This window comes from Homo sapiens, chromosome X (assembly GCF_000001405.40).
Source record: "Homo sapiens chromosome X, GRCh38.p14 Primary Assembly".
Classification (NCBI taxonomy): domain Eukaryota; kingdom Metazoa; phylum Chordata; class Mammalia; order Primates; family Hominidae; genus Homo; species Homo sapiens.
Window position 1 is genome coordinate 14604769 of NC_000023.11, and position 13916 is coordinate 14618684.

General features: G+C 37.1%; 1 protein-coding gene across 8 annotated transcripts in view; it reads left to right on the plus strand.

Annotated features, from left to right (window-relative positions):
- GLRA2 (glycine receptor alpha 2) overlaps positions 1-13916 on the plus strand; it is a 283034-nt gene that overhangs the window by 155990 nt on the left and 113128 nt on the right. For all 8 annotated transcript variants that reach the window (XM_047441999.1, NM_001171942.2, NM_001118885.2 and 5 more), the window contains 2 exons: positions 2363-2500; positions 4223-4437. In XM_047441999.1, coding sequence (XP_047297955.1) covers positions 2363-2500; positions 4223-4437 — 353 coding nt within the window. The remainder of the gene's footprint in view (positions 1-2362; positions 2501-4222; positions 4438-13916) is intronic.

Below are 13916 nucleotides of genomic sequence, written 5' to 3' on the forward strand. Positions count from 1 at the left end.
CTCTTTAATCAGAAAATTGAATTTCTTTCCATCTTATGCCCATGTAGACCATCACCCCAAAAGGAATTCTGGCAGGAAGGGATAATTGCTTTGAGAACAAGACATAAGGACCTTGGCCAGAGGAGGATGTAAGAATGAGGGGCATGAGATGAGATGGAATAAGACAGAATAAGAGGCATTTCTCTTAGATAAGCAGTGGATACACAAAAGCATGGTGAAGCAAGTAGAAAAAGGCCATCTACTTTGTCCCCTTTATGACCTAACCCTGATGCCACTAAAGTCTTTGATATGTGTCACCATAAGTTGCTGATGCCTCCAAAGTAACAGGATTTTCAGTTAAGAGATATGAATTTCTTTCTGGCTTGGTCTATCAGTTTCTCTGTTTGTAAAATGCAGAGAATAATAAGTGCCACTGACCTACATGGACGTTAGGAGATTTAATGAGGCATGGGCAAGGAAATACTTTTAACTTCTTGGTTTAGAAAAAGAATATATGTAAAAAGACTTATCTATTATTTAAAAAGAGGTAGTGACAGGGTTGATTTCATTCTGATCATCTAAAATCACTATGGATTTCCCTTGAAACATCCCAGAGAAATAAACAAAATGATGAAACCTCTTTATCTTAAGAAGTTGTCATAGATAAAATGAAAATTTCTGATTTAAAATAGGCCTTATGTATTCATTTTTTTCCTTATTGCTCCTTCTCTTGAGAAAAAAGCTGAGAAAAACATTTTCTTACATGATTCCTTCTTTCTGTTTTCTCTACTGCTCCAAAATCTCCCCTGACTCAACCCAACACTTTTATTTTTTCTGTAAAACAGTAGCCGTAGCTGTCAACTGATGTTCATCCAAGGCTTAGAAAATTTGAATTAGTAAATAAGCTCAGTCCTGGCATGAATAATGAAATCAAAGAAACATCATGTTTACCACTAACTTTGGATGTGAAGGGTGGGAATTATTATTTTTTTCCTTTTCTATCCCAATATTACTTTCTTCATCCCCACCTCTTTACCTCTGCTGTCTTCCCCATGCTGGGGCTTCAGGGTGACTGACAAGAACTTTTATTGTGGTGGCCAACGAGAAGCTCACCAGACAAGAACGTGGGGTATTTTGTGAGCTTAGAGTAGTATTTGCTGGAGGTTTCCAAGGTGTACTCACACAGATAGGGTTTGCCATTCTCCTTGTGGACCACCAATGCTTGTATAGGGCCTCTTTGTATCTCCTTGCTTTCCATGTTCTTATTATTTTTTTTTTTTTGGCTTTATGTTGAAAAGGTAGTCCAAAGAAACAGGAAAGTAGATTACAATTAAACTTGCCATTGATTTCTGGGTAGCTCTGGCGAGTCACTATCTTGCAGTAAATAAGAATAAGAATCCATAAACTTAAAAAAAAAAAAAAAAAACATGCTGAGGATTTTGGCCAGCCAAGACCTCACATAATATCCTCTGTCCTCATCACTCTTATCTGAAAAGTTCAAATATTACAAACAAAGGGAAAAGGTAGAGAAATGGTGCATGAAAGAAGAGTAGGCTTCATTTCTAGGGTAGAGAAAGATCCAGAAAAAATTGACAGATGATGACCTAGCTTGGAGACTAAGAGCTAACTTTGGATTACCAAACTGATAACAATTTTACTTTGGATGGTTCAAGTCATATAAAAATATGATCTTTCATAATAGGTAATCTGTTTTACTTTGTATTAATAATTGTGATGAGTGGGCCCATTTAGCAAGACACTAGCACAAATGAATATTCTTAATTTGCATATTCCATAATTTCCTCTTAGATTACCTGCCAATAGTCTTCCCCATTTGCTAAAGTAGAAGGACTTTAACATAAGCTTTCTGAATGCAAAGCTAATAGACCCTAGGAGGAGGGCCAAGTCTGTAATGGGAATGTTTTAGGCAGGCCCGTGATTAATTCATTCTCATTTAAAAAAAGAATGGTTTTCATTTAAAGTACTGACTGGCACTGTGGATTGGATTGTCTTATTGGATTGCTAAAGCCTCAGCTCTTGCAAGTAAAGACAATCTTCAAAGGATTTTTATGTTTGTTCACTTGTTTGTTCTTCAGAAAGAGTTAGTGAATAAAAAGGCAGAAATCAATAGACTTTTTAGATTCCATTCTTTCATTACACAGAAAAAAAATCCATCCATAAGTAGCTTTCTGTCTTAAATTTCTTTGGCTCCAATGACACAGAGTTGTAGTGATGATTGCAGCTCTTTTATTAAGAATGCTCTTGAATTGACTGAGCGTATGTCTGCTTTAGACAGTTTCTTTGTTTGTTTCTTTACATGGGTAGACTTTCAAGCTTTCTTGGAAAGCCATATTCAATTTTCACTATGATTTCTTTACCTCAGTTGGGTACACGATGAATGACCTGATATTTGAGTGGTTAAGTGATGGTCCAGTGCAAGTTGCTGAAGGATTGACCCTGCCCCAGTTTATTTTGAAAGAAGAGAAGGAACTTGGCTACTGTACAAAGCACTACAACACTGGTAAGTTTCTTTTTTTTTTTTTTTCAGCTGTTAAACACAAGTGAGCGCCATTTGCAGTTTGGAGTATACATCTCATTACTCTAATTGCTGCATATTTACCAGGCAAATAGACCTATGTCGCACGGACCTGATTTGGCTCAAAACTCCCTCAACAGATAAGATTCCTATACTCTCTGGAATAGGTCAGCAAACACAAGAGGTAATTTCTCCAGAACATAGAGAGAAGGAGAGAGGATTTAGGATCTTTTGCTGTTCCTAGCTGACCATCTGTTGTCGAATGAGTCTGAGGAAAGATGTAGAAAACCTCATTAGTGGTGCAGAAAACATAAATTCTGGCTCCTTTCTGGCATCCGCTCTTGCCATTGGATGCTTAGGTCAATTTGCACCCACTGTCTTACTGCCTTAGTGCCTTAGTGGAAAAGAGGGACAATAACACAGGTCTTTGTAAACCCAGAAATAGAGCTGTTGTGTTCTTCAGTCCTGGATAGCAATAGAAGTTTGGATGAAAGTCAGCTGGCAGGAATTCAGCTGGCTCTAAAGTCATGTGTTATCAGTAGTGCTGACAGACACATGGGGTTGGGGGGCAGGTGGTGAAGGAAGAACTTGAGGTGGTAGCAACAAATAGGCATCCGTTGTTTTCTGGAAGATTTTACCTGTCCAGAAAAGTTGATGGTTTTTCTTAAGAAAAACCATGGTGTTCATTCAATACTATGCAAGCTGATCATGGAGAGACAATCAAGACATGATGGTTTGTCCAGTAACTGGTCTAGGTCCCTTGCTGAGGAAAACAGTTTATGCACACTTGTTCCAACAGCCAACAGTGATACTTATGAAGTAACCAAAACCTGATTCCAAGGATGTTTTTTTTCTGACCAAGAAGAATTCAACCCTATATCTTGTAATCTGTATGGACTAAGCAAAATTACCTTCTGGAGTTCTAACTCCAAGTCAATTAAGGAGAAAAAAAGTGGGAAGGGGTAGGAATATCTGTCTCTTAAATGTTAGAAGTTTTAATACCTTTATATGAACTCCTTTTTACAGGTAAAGAAACACTGTACGTAGTTCCTAGGCATATGCTAAATGTCCTGAAGCAATTACCCAGAAGGCTAGGAAATTTTTACAATGACTAGACTATACACTGGCTTATACAAATGTACATTTTTCTCTTGCCATTAATAACACAATGATAAATACACAGTTCTTTAAATACTTTGTAGTTTTATGTAAACTGTACTACTTTGGAGGAAATGGCTTCAACTATTACACAGTGTATGTCATGTGTTACATATTATATGCTATATAGTATATGCTATTAATATATAATATACTATATATAACATATTATAACCCCCCAAAATTTGAATATTTTATTTCCACTGGTTATTTTCTGTCAGTCTTGTAAATTCTGAAGCTCTGTCTAAAACAATCAAGCTGCAGCAAGCACAGATTTTAAAAATTAAATATGCTTTATGGTTTTGGTCCAGTGACTCTTTAGATCACACATTCTCACACTATTATTATCACTATTATTCCACAGTAATTATTTCTATTACTGGTTCAGTTGGAGAAGAGTTGAATTGGTTACGTAGGGTGAACATTTTGTGCAATCTTCCAAATCCATCTGCAGTAGTCTTTTTTTTTTTTTTTTTTAAACAACGTGGGATAATGGAATTGGAAATATAAATTCAGGCTGGACTTTAAATGATCATTTCCTCCTTCTAGGAAAGTTTACCTGCATTGAGGTCAAGTTTCATCTGGAACGCCAAATGGGATATTATTTGATCCAGATGTACATCCCAAGCCTGCTTATAGTAATTTTGTCCTGGGTTTCCTTTTGGATAAATATGGATGCAGCCCCTGCCAGGGTCGCACTGGGCATCACCACAGTCTTAACGATGACCACCCAGAGTTCAGGCTCCAGGGCATCTCTGCCAAAGGTAAGAAATCTTGCTTGATAACAGATGACATGAAAGCTTCCCAAAGGTCTTGTGGGCTGGAGAGTTCTGTGAGGACAGAAATGTTGGCCACCCTATGACACTGTCATAGATATGAATGCAATAAGAGGACAAGAAGCTGAGTTTGAGAGAATCAGGGATCTGGGAACATGGGGAACCCTCAAAATCATATCATTTAGAGGAAAGGGAAATTAGTATTGAGAGGGAAGAGAAATGAGTAGAGGCAGAAACATGGCTTAGAGACTCTAGGAAGCCCTTGAGTGCTTTTGATCTCGGTTGTTTATAAGACATGAAGCTTGCAAGAATTGGAGTAAGACTGATGCAATTTATGCCATATTTTCAAGTATTTATTGGTGAAACTATTGCAATTCATATGTTTAGTGAAGTCATTTATAGTAATAAAAATTTGAATTAGGCTCCTGGAAATCACAGAAGAGCCATATCAATAAATATATGTAAGAAATTAATGTACAATATTAGGGTACAGCAATCTGATATATGAAACATTGCTATGCCTTAATTTCCTTTAATGGCTGATATGCTACTATTTTTGAGTGACACAGTTACCCAGAGAAGGAACAGTAGAGTCATCTAAAATGGTGAAAATTCCTAGAAATGTGGCATGGTGACAGAGGAGTGTGGGATCGATATCAGGGACATATAGACAGTTTATAGCACCTCAAATAATAATCCATAAGTGGCTGTGTAATCTATTTTTATAAAAAGAAGGCCATCTGCATTTGTAAATATTGCTTAAGCAAGTAATGATGAATGTCCCACTTTTGAAATGCTCTAGCACCCCAGAAGTGTGCCTTTGTGTGCTTCCCCATTTCACTGAGCACACTGAGCCATTGGCTTCAATTTTCCAGAATATGAGTTTAATTTAGGATTCAGTGTACATTGTCTCATACTGGTTGAGCAGTCTCTCCAAAATGCATTTCCGGAAAATAATGAAGATGTAATTCCATATTTTTGCTGGCTTGAGTTTATGTTTGGTTGTGCTGAATTTGACATAATGAGAAATGTTAGATCATGTTCCACATTATCTCCCATGTCCAGAAGATAAGATGACATATGGAGGAGGTCTGTGGTTATAATAGAGGTGGGCTGAATACTGGAGAAATATTTACACAACTTATTAAGTCCCATGCCTCCAAAGATAAACATTAGGTTTTATATGGTCATAGAGAAAGGAATAGAGGTATCTCTAATACTTTTTTATCTTCTAGAATAACAAATAGTATAATGTACCTGTATTATTTTTCTACTGGAATACAGATGTCAGAAATACTAACAGCTTTTTTAACCTGTATAATCAAAAATCAATTTTACCTAATAGCACTTTTAATCCACTCTGTGCCCCTCCCAAACAGGTTCATTTGCTTATTTATTATTAGTCATTAGCTATTGCCATCACTGCATGCCATGGCATTAAACCTCAGGATGTACAAACATATATTTTACAATTTAATAGACAGCTAAAGTACTGGTGACAAACTGTAAGCATATAATGTCAAAATATAAGACATTTAGCCTCCAACTGCTCATTGCTGTGAAAAGAGTAGTCATTTATCTTCAAAATGGGAGTTTGAGTTTTTATAAATTTGTTATTCATTTTATAAAGCTGTTATGATTCTGCATCAATGGTCAAAACTATTGCTAAATAAATGTTCACTGATCAGGGATCTTTGTATGTAAAGGCAATGAGGAACTCAGATAAACCAAAAGAGAGTAAAATCAAAAATCATTTTACACTTGGCTCTGAACTCATGGTGGTTATCCTTTTGCCACCATTAGGTTTATCTTCCTCTGTGTACTTTTCTTATGCTGTTATTAAACATGGTTGGCTTTCAACTGACCATGAGGAAATGTAACTTATGTGGATGATGGTGTGAAACACATGGGATAAAAAGTGAGTCATGGAAAATGAAGAATTGGTCATACAGTTACTTATACATGCACATGCATGTAAATACTCATTTTAATTTATAAACACTGCAATCCCTGACCAGATGCTCCACTGTGGTGATTGTACATTTACTTCAGGGCCTCCTACAATGCCCCGTACAGAGTACACATGCACATTACACTTTAAAAGTAAGATGTTTGTTATAGAAAAGACAGAAAACACAGAAAACATGATTAATGTTAACCAACCATTAAATAACTGTTGTTAAGACTTTGGTGTATTTTCTTTCAGTCTTTTTTCCATGTGCATTTATGGGCAAGCCCATGCACATGCACACACAGAAAATTGAGGTCAAACTTTTACACCATCTTAGATATTTAGAGTTTTCTTTTTTGCTTTTGTAAGTATGATAATTATAAATACATTTGCATAGGAGTGTTTGTAGCCCACTGTGTTCTAGATAACATATATATAGTTTTTAATTTTTAAAAACTTTCAATGAGAAAAAAGAAGGTACTGAGCATGTTTAGAGTGAATGAGGGAAGATCTATGAGAAGATATTTGATGGGATATATGTTCTATGCAGGCAACAACTTTGTCTTGTTCATTCTGTTAACTTCAACACCTAGAACAGTATGTGGCTTAGACTAGATGACCAATAAATTCTCATCGAATGGATAAATTAATGATCAGCCATGTTCTCCCATGTGAGGCCATGTTGAAGATATTAGGTTGGTGCAAAAGTAATTCTGGCTTTTGTCATTAACAGTAATGGCAAATATCGCAATTACTTTTGTACCAACCTAGTAGATCAGACTTGAAGCAGAATCCATGGGTGAAAGTTACACAGAAAAGTATTTGAGTTTTAATGTACAGAAGAATCTCATAATAATATTACATGTACTATAAAGGACTGGAATTTCTCTAGAGTATGTCTCCCTTTCCAAAAATTCTCAAGCAGACTTTGCAAAGTTAAGAATATATGAACAAATTTACAAGAAAACAAACAACCCCATCAAAAAATGGGCAAAGGACAGAACAGACACTTCTCAAAAGAAGAGATTTATGCAACCAACAGACATATGAAAAAATGCCCATCATCACTGGTCATTAGAGAAATGCAAATCAAAACCACAATGAGATACCATCTCATGCCAGTTAGAATGGCGATCATTAAAAAGTCAGGAAACAACAGATGCTAGAGAGGTTGTGGAAAAATAGGAATGCTTTTACACTGTTGGTGGGAGAGTAAATTAGTTCAACCATTGTGGAAGACAGTGTGACAATTCCTCAAGGATCTAGAACTGGAAATATCATTTGACCCAGCGAACTCATTACTGGGCATATAACCAAAGGATTATAAATCATTCTATGATAAAGACACATGCACAGGTATGTTTATTGCGGCACTATTCACAATACCAAAGACTTGGAACCAACCCAAATGTCCGTCAATGATAGACTGGATTAAGAAAATGTGGTACATATACACCATGGAATACTATGCAGCCATGAAAAAGGATGAGTTCATATCCTTTGCAGGGACATGGATGAAGCTGGAAACCATCATTCTCAGCAAACTAACACAAGAATGGAAAACCAAACACTGCATGTTCTCACTCACAAGTGGGGGTTGAACAATGAGAATACATGGACACGGGGAGGGGAACATCACACACTGGGGCCTGTCGGAGGGTGGGGGGGCTAGGGGAGTGATAGCATTAGGAGAAATACCTAGTGTAGATGATGGGTTGATGGGTGCAGCAAACCACCATGGCATGTGTATATCTATGTAACACAACTGCATGTTCTGCACAGGTAACCCAGAACTTAAAGTATAATAATAATAAAAATATGAACAAAGACATATTTTGAAACATAGGCCTTGATCTAAATCTTAGAGCCTTTACTTCACTCAACCTCTCTAAGTTTGTTTCATCATTTATAAAATGAGAACATTATTATCTACCCCTTAAAAAAATTAAATGAGGATGAGATGAAGCAGTACTTATATAAATTGTTTAGCCCAGTTTTTCTACATCGTCGGTATTCATCTCATCCTGGTTATTTTTATTCTTACTGTTCCCTGTCCATAATGTAGTAGAAAAGACTGCTCCATGGCATGAGAGGTTATATTAGAAAATGCATAAAGGGCCTTATGAATAGAAGATGTCCTGTTCTTTGGATGGCTCACTATTCACTTATAGTTGTACTGTCAATGAGATTAACCAAAGTTTGTCATATGTATGTGTGTACAAGATACAATTAGTCCTCCATATCTGCAGGCTCTGCATCTGCAGATTCAACAAACCATGGATCAAAAATATTTTTAAAAAACAAAGAAAGCAAAACAACAATAAAAAAAATAACCAATACAGCATAACAACTATACAATATTTGCATTGTATTGGGTATTATAAGTAATCTAGAGATGATTTAAAGTATATGGGAGGATGTGCATAGGTTATATGCAAATATTACTCCATTTCATATAAGGGACTTGAGCATCCACAGATTTTCGTATTTGCAAAGATCCTGGAACCAATCCCCTGTGGATACCAAGGGGGCAACTATGTACATATGCACAAATACACGTGTGTGTTTTTTTTACAGATAGTTGATTAAATGGGTTCAGTTCCAGAGGGTCTGAATAAGATATGAGTCAATTTTTCCCCACTCACTACCATTAAATACCCTCACTTGGCTATGTCTTCTCTGCCCCTGGAGGATTCTATAGATTCTCAGTACTATATGCTATGCTATTAGACCTGGAATGTACAAACGTGTATTTTTCAATTTAATAGACAGCTAAAGTATCAGTGACAAACAGATATTTTAGGATAGTCTATTATCAGACTTTTAAAAAATTATCTAGTCTGAAACAAAACTTCAGTCTCATGTACAATTCAATGCTCTTTTCTTCCCTTGCCGCATGCTCAGGCCTGACTTGTGCCTTGAAAATGTACAGCGATGTGGAGCACTTTGTCTGTTCCTTCACAGTTCCTCCCCTGTATTTCCAACTTTTTTCCTCACTCATGTTGCTGACTTCACCATTGTTGAGGGCTGAGAGTAATGGGAAAGATGGAGGAAAGTCTCATGTGACCGAAGCTGTGGTATACTATTAGTGCCTTCTCTAATGGCAAGCCCCCAAATGCTGGATTTCTTGTGAGGTGAACTTGAGTTCTTTGGAGTTCCCAGGGCATCCAACATACTACACCATTTCCAGATGAATAATGTATTCTCTGGGTGATGTCTTACCATCTCCTCTTAGCTATCACCTCCTAGCAGTATATCCCATACAACTTCTTACTCCTCAGGTCCCCTTCCTTAATAAGATAGCCCTTCTGGTTGATGTATTTTCCAGATGACTCACCTTTGGCTATCTTCCACACCATTTATTAGGCTCACTAAGAACTTGTGCATTATTGCCTTGCTAAATGATAGAAATGCAACTTAACCAACTGCTAATCTTTCTGCTTTCACCCTACTATCATGGGTATTCCAGCTAACCTACTGCCTTCAAAATTCACTCAGGTAAGAAAGATATTGGTGTTCACATTTTCATATAAAACCCAAATACTAAAGACAAATGAGAGATTCTCTTAAGAACTCTGATCCAGGGGCAACTTGTTGGAATTTCAGCAGCTTACCAAATATATGGCATATGGAAGAGATACCAGTCTCTTTTCTTACAGGGGTGGGTATAAACCACCTTCTATCCATCTTTAGGAGAACAGGGAGAATGCCACAGCACTGTCAACGTCCACAAATTCCATTACTTCAATTAATGTTTTCGAATGTCTGGTTTTCTGTAATAATACAGGGTGTTGGGTATAAGAGTCTCTAGACAGCATTTTCTGTCTTCTAGAAAGTACTGTATCTGGCATGTATATGTGCAGCGTCTCCCTTTAGTGTAAGGCTTTAGTAAAAATGCTGAGGCAATAAGAATATCCTGTTCCCATACTGTTACACATATAAATATACACTCTTAATTTTAGACTTTTATCCCTATGAGGGCAAGGACTTCATTGCTCTTGGAAATGTTCGTGTACCCACCCCTCAGCACAACACCTGGTTCACAGTAGGTGCTCAGTAAAGAGTAAATCAGTGAATAAATGAACAGTGTTGAAAATACTTGTAATCAAGGGGTATTCCCAGTATAATTCAATTGATGATTCATCCATCCATTTATTTATTCAACTAACACTTATTGAATGTTTTATCTGTGCCATGCATTCTTCTAGGGGTCAAAGATAAAACACAGCCCCTACCCTCAGGGGCTTGTAATCTGCTAGGCCAGAGATAGGCATTTGGAATGGTGATTATTTAACAATGTAGGATAAAAAGATATATGAAGTAAGATGCCTAACCTATTAAGTGGAGGAGGGAAGAATGGGTGGGTGAAGAAGGGAGAGAAGAGAGGGGGAAGGAGCAAAGGAAGTAGAGAGAGCAGGAGCAGATCTAGGAAAATGTCCTGAAGGAGGAAGCCTGAGCTGAATCTACGAGGCATATTAAGTAGGTGAAGTAGGAGGAGGTAAAGGGCATTCCAGGCAATGAGGACCTTCTACTCATAATATTTGGGCTACACTTTTAAAATAAGGCTTTCTAGAAAAAAATCTGGGTACATTTCAAACATGCTTCACACATTTTAAACACGTTTCAAGTAAGAAACTTGTGTTTATTGATTCCAAGTTAATTTCCTATCTTCCTGCCAACCAATACTTTTTGTGTTTTTGTTCTTGATTTTTTGTTTTTCAGAAGTTCAATCCCTTCTCTAAATACAGGAAAATCAAATACCAGCATGATATGTGTTTCATCGGTATCTTTCCCTTTGAAGCTATAAAATTGGTTTTTAAACATACATCTCTGCCAACCCCCAAGAAGCTATTGTGCTGGCAATACTTCTTTTAACCGTTTAGAGCATAAAGCCTCTAGTGGCAGACTAAAGGCTGCATGTTGTCTTTCCCACCCTCAGAAAAGTATGAGGATGAATTGAATGGAAGATGGAAGACTGAGACATCAGGCAGGCTTTGCACATGGCAAAATAAGATTAAACGATTATTTTCCTTTACTCCATGTTTGTTATCACAGCTAGATGATTTATAGCCACTCCTAAGTGTGTCTTGAGTCCTCATTTGTGGCTGAAGCCCAGAGACTATAGAAGTGAAAGCAAACACTGGGATAGCTAGAATGACCTAGGTGTGCAGACGACTCTGACAGGTCCAGAACTGTCTCTTTGAAGCAAGGATCCAGAGGCATTGTCTTTCGCCATTATTAACTGGGATGGCCTATTTCCTATATAAGGAAATTTCTCCTTACTTTTCAGCCATCTGGTCAACTAAGACCAGCTGGACCATTTCAAGCAGCTGACAAACCCAGGACATGCTTGGAATTTAAAACGAAAGAGGCCATACATAGTTTTGCCACATTTGGTCTTGCTTTATTCCCCCTACCAGAATGCTTCTAACTAGAGATTGCAGTAAGAGAACTACGAAAACAGTAAGACTGATACCTGTAGGAGTTTTTAAAGATTTGTTTGGATATCTGTTTTAGCTCTAAAAAATAAAGATGATTGCTCCTTGAATCAGGTATATCCCCAGCTAATTTAAACGACTTTCCCAGTATTTCTGAAAGAAGTTGGAAACAATTATTTTTTGTACATAATCAGGATCTTATGAAGTTCTTGGATAAAGATTAAAAAGTAAGAAAGCCAAGCAAATTGATCTGCAGGCCTGCTTGCTTTAGCCAGATGTCTGCATATGTAGGAGACTTCATAAACTTTCCCTCCCGACATTTCCCAAGCCACAGCAAATTGAAGAGTCGTTGATGTAGTGAGTGTGTGAAAAAAATATGCAAAGAGATGACACGTGAGAATTCTCTGGGGAGAGAGCTGAAGCACCATTGGTACTTTAGTTTAAGAATGTTGTTGGCAGCCTTTGCAGGGAAGCTGACAGTGAGAGAAGCTATCCAAGCTAGGCTTTTGCTCAAGTCCTGGTGAGGCTCGTAAGCCTTTGGGGATGGCATATGGAAATTCAGGATTATTTTGAACTCTTTCTCTTTCCATTTCACTAAAATGGGTAACTATGGGTCCAAATGGCTTGGGTTCTTATAAACACCACACAGTGAGGAAAAAAATGAACTATTGTGGAGCATGCAACACAGTGTCAGGCACTATGTTATAATACATGATCACATTACAGACAAGAAGAAACAGAACTTCTGTCCTTAAGAAGACATAAACATAAAATAGAAGATTATAATTCAGTGCAGTAAAGGCAGATTTTTTTACAAAATGGCTATAATAATTTCCCTCCCTGTGTCTACACCCTTGGGTAATAGCTTCCTCTTACATTGACTGTAAACTTGACCATGTGACTTGTCCTGGTCAATGGGACAATGGCAAATGCAGCAAAACTAGAGGCTTAAAAACTGCTTGCATATTGAAGCTAGCTCTCTCCTGCTACTCTTGGGATGCTGTGACCACTACTATGTGACTAAGACCAGGCTAACCTATTGAGTGATAAGAGACACATGGCCCAGTTATCTCAACCACCAGGTGAGGCCATGCAAACACATGAGGGTGTCCAGCCACTGCCATGTGGAACAGAGACGATCCATCCCAGATGAGCCCAGACCAAATAGTTGAACCAAAGAATCGTGAACAAATAAATAGCTGTCATTTTAAGCTACTACATCTTGGGGTAGTTTGTTACACAGCAAAAGTTATGGCTGCTAAGAAGGATCCTTGATCTAGTCTGGAACTTCCTGGAAGAAGGGACATGAGGAAGCAGCACCTGAACTAAATTTTTTTGAAAATAGATGAAGTTTTTATTTGGACACAAATTCTTACCACCACCATGTTTTAAATAAAATGACTGATATTAACTTTAGTGTCCTTGGAACAAGTCTATAATAAGAATATAGGATAAGAATATAAGAATATCGCCATTTAGTCTGGTGATGTTCTTTCTAATTTTGAAACCACTCTTAAAATTTACCATTTCTTCCAGGAAGCTTTCTCAAATTCTTTGGAAAAGTTTCCTCATAGCTTTCCATAAGAAGAAGCCTCAATTAGGCAATTGTTATGTGCCTACCTCTCTTTATAAAATATCTCTCATGGCCCAGGAAGGAGCAGGATGCTGATGATAAACACACCAATTTGAGCACTCACTAACAATTGGGCAAGTTTCCATTTTTGTACATATCCTTATACTAAATATGCTCATTTCATGAGACAGAATTATGTGTTTGTATACATGCATGATAATGTAGTCATTTATGTAAAGGGTATTATGTTTATGAATTAAACAGAGATATAGTATGGTAATGTTTATGTAAACGGCATTATGTTTATGAATTAAAATAAACATATATATAGCATAATAAGGAATATTAGAAAGCTTTCAGCTGATGCAGTAATTTTCTGTTGCTGTATAATAAACTTTGCTACTTAAAATACCCATTTATTAGCTTGTAATTCTGTAAGTCAAAAGCCTGGCTTAGCATGACTGGGTTCTCTGCCCAGGGTCTTATAAGGCTGAAATCAAAGTGT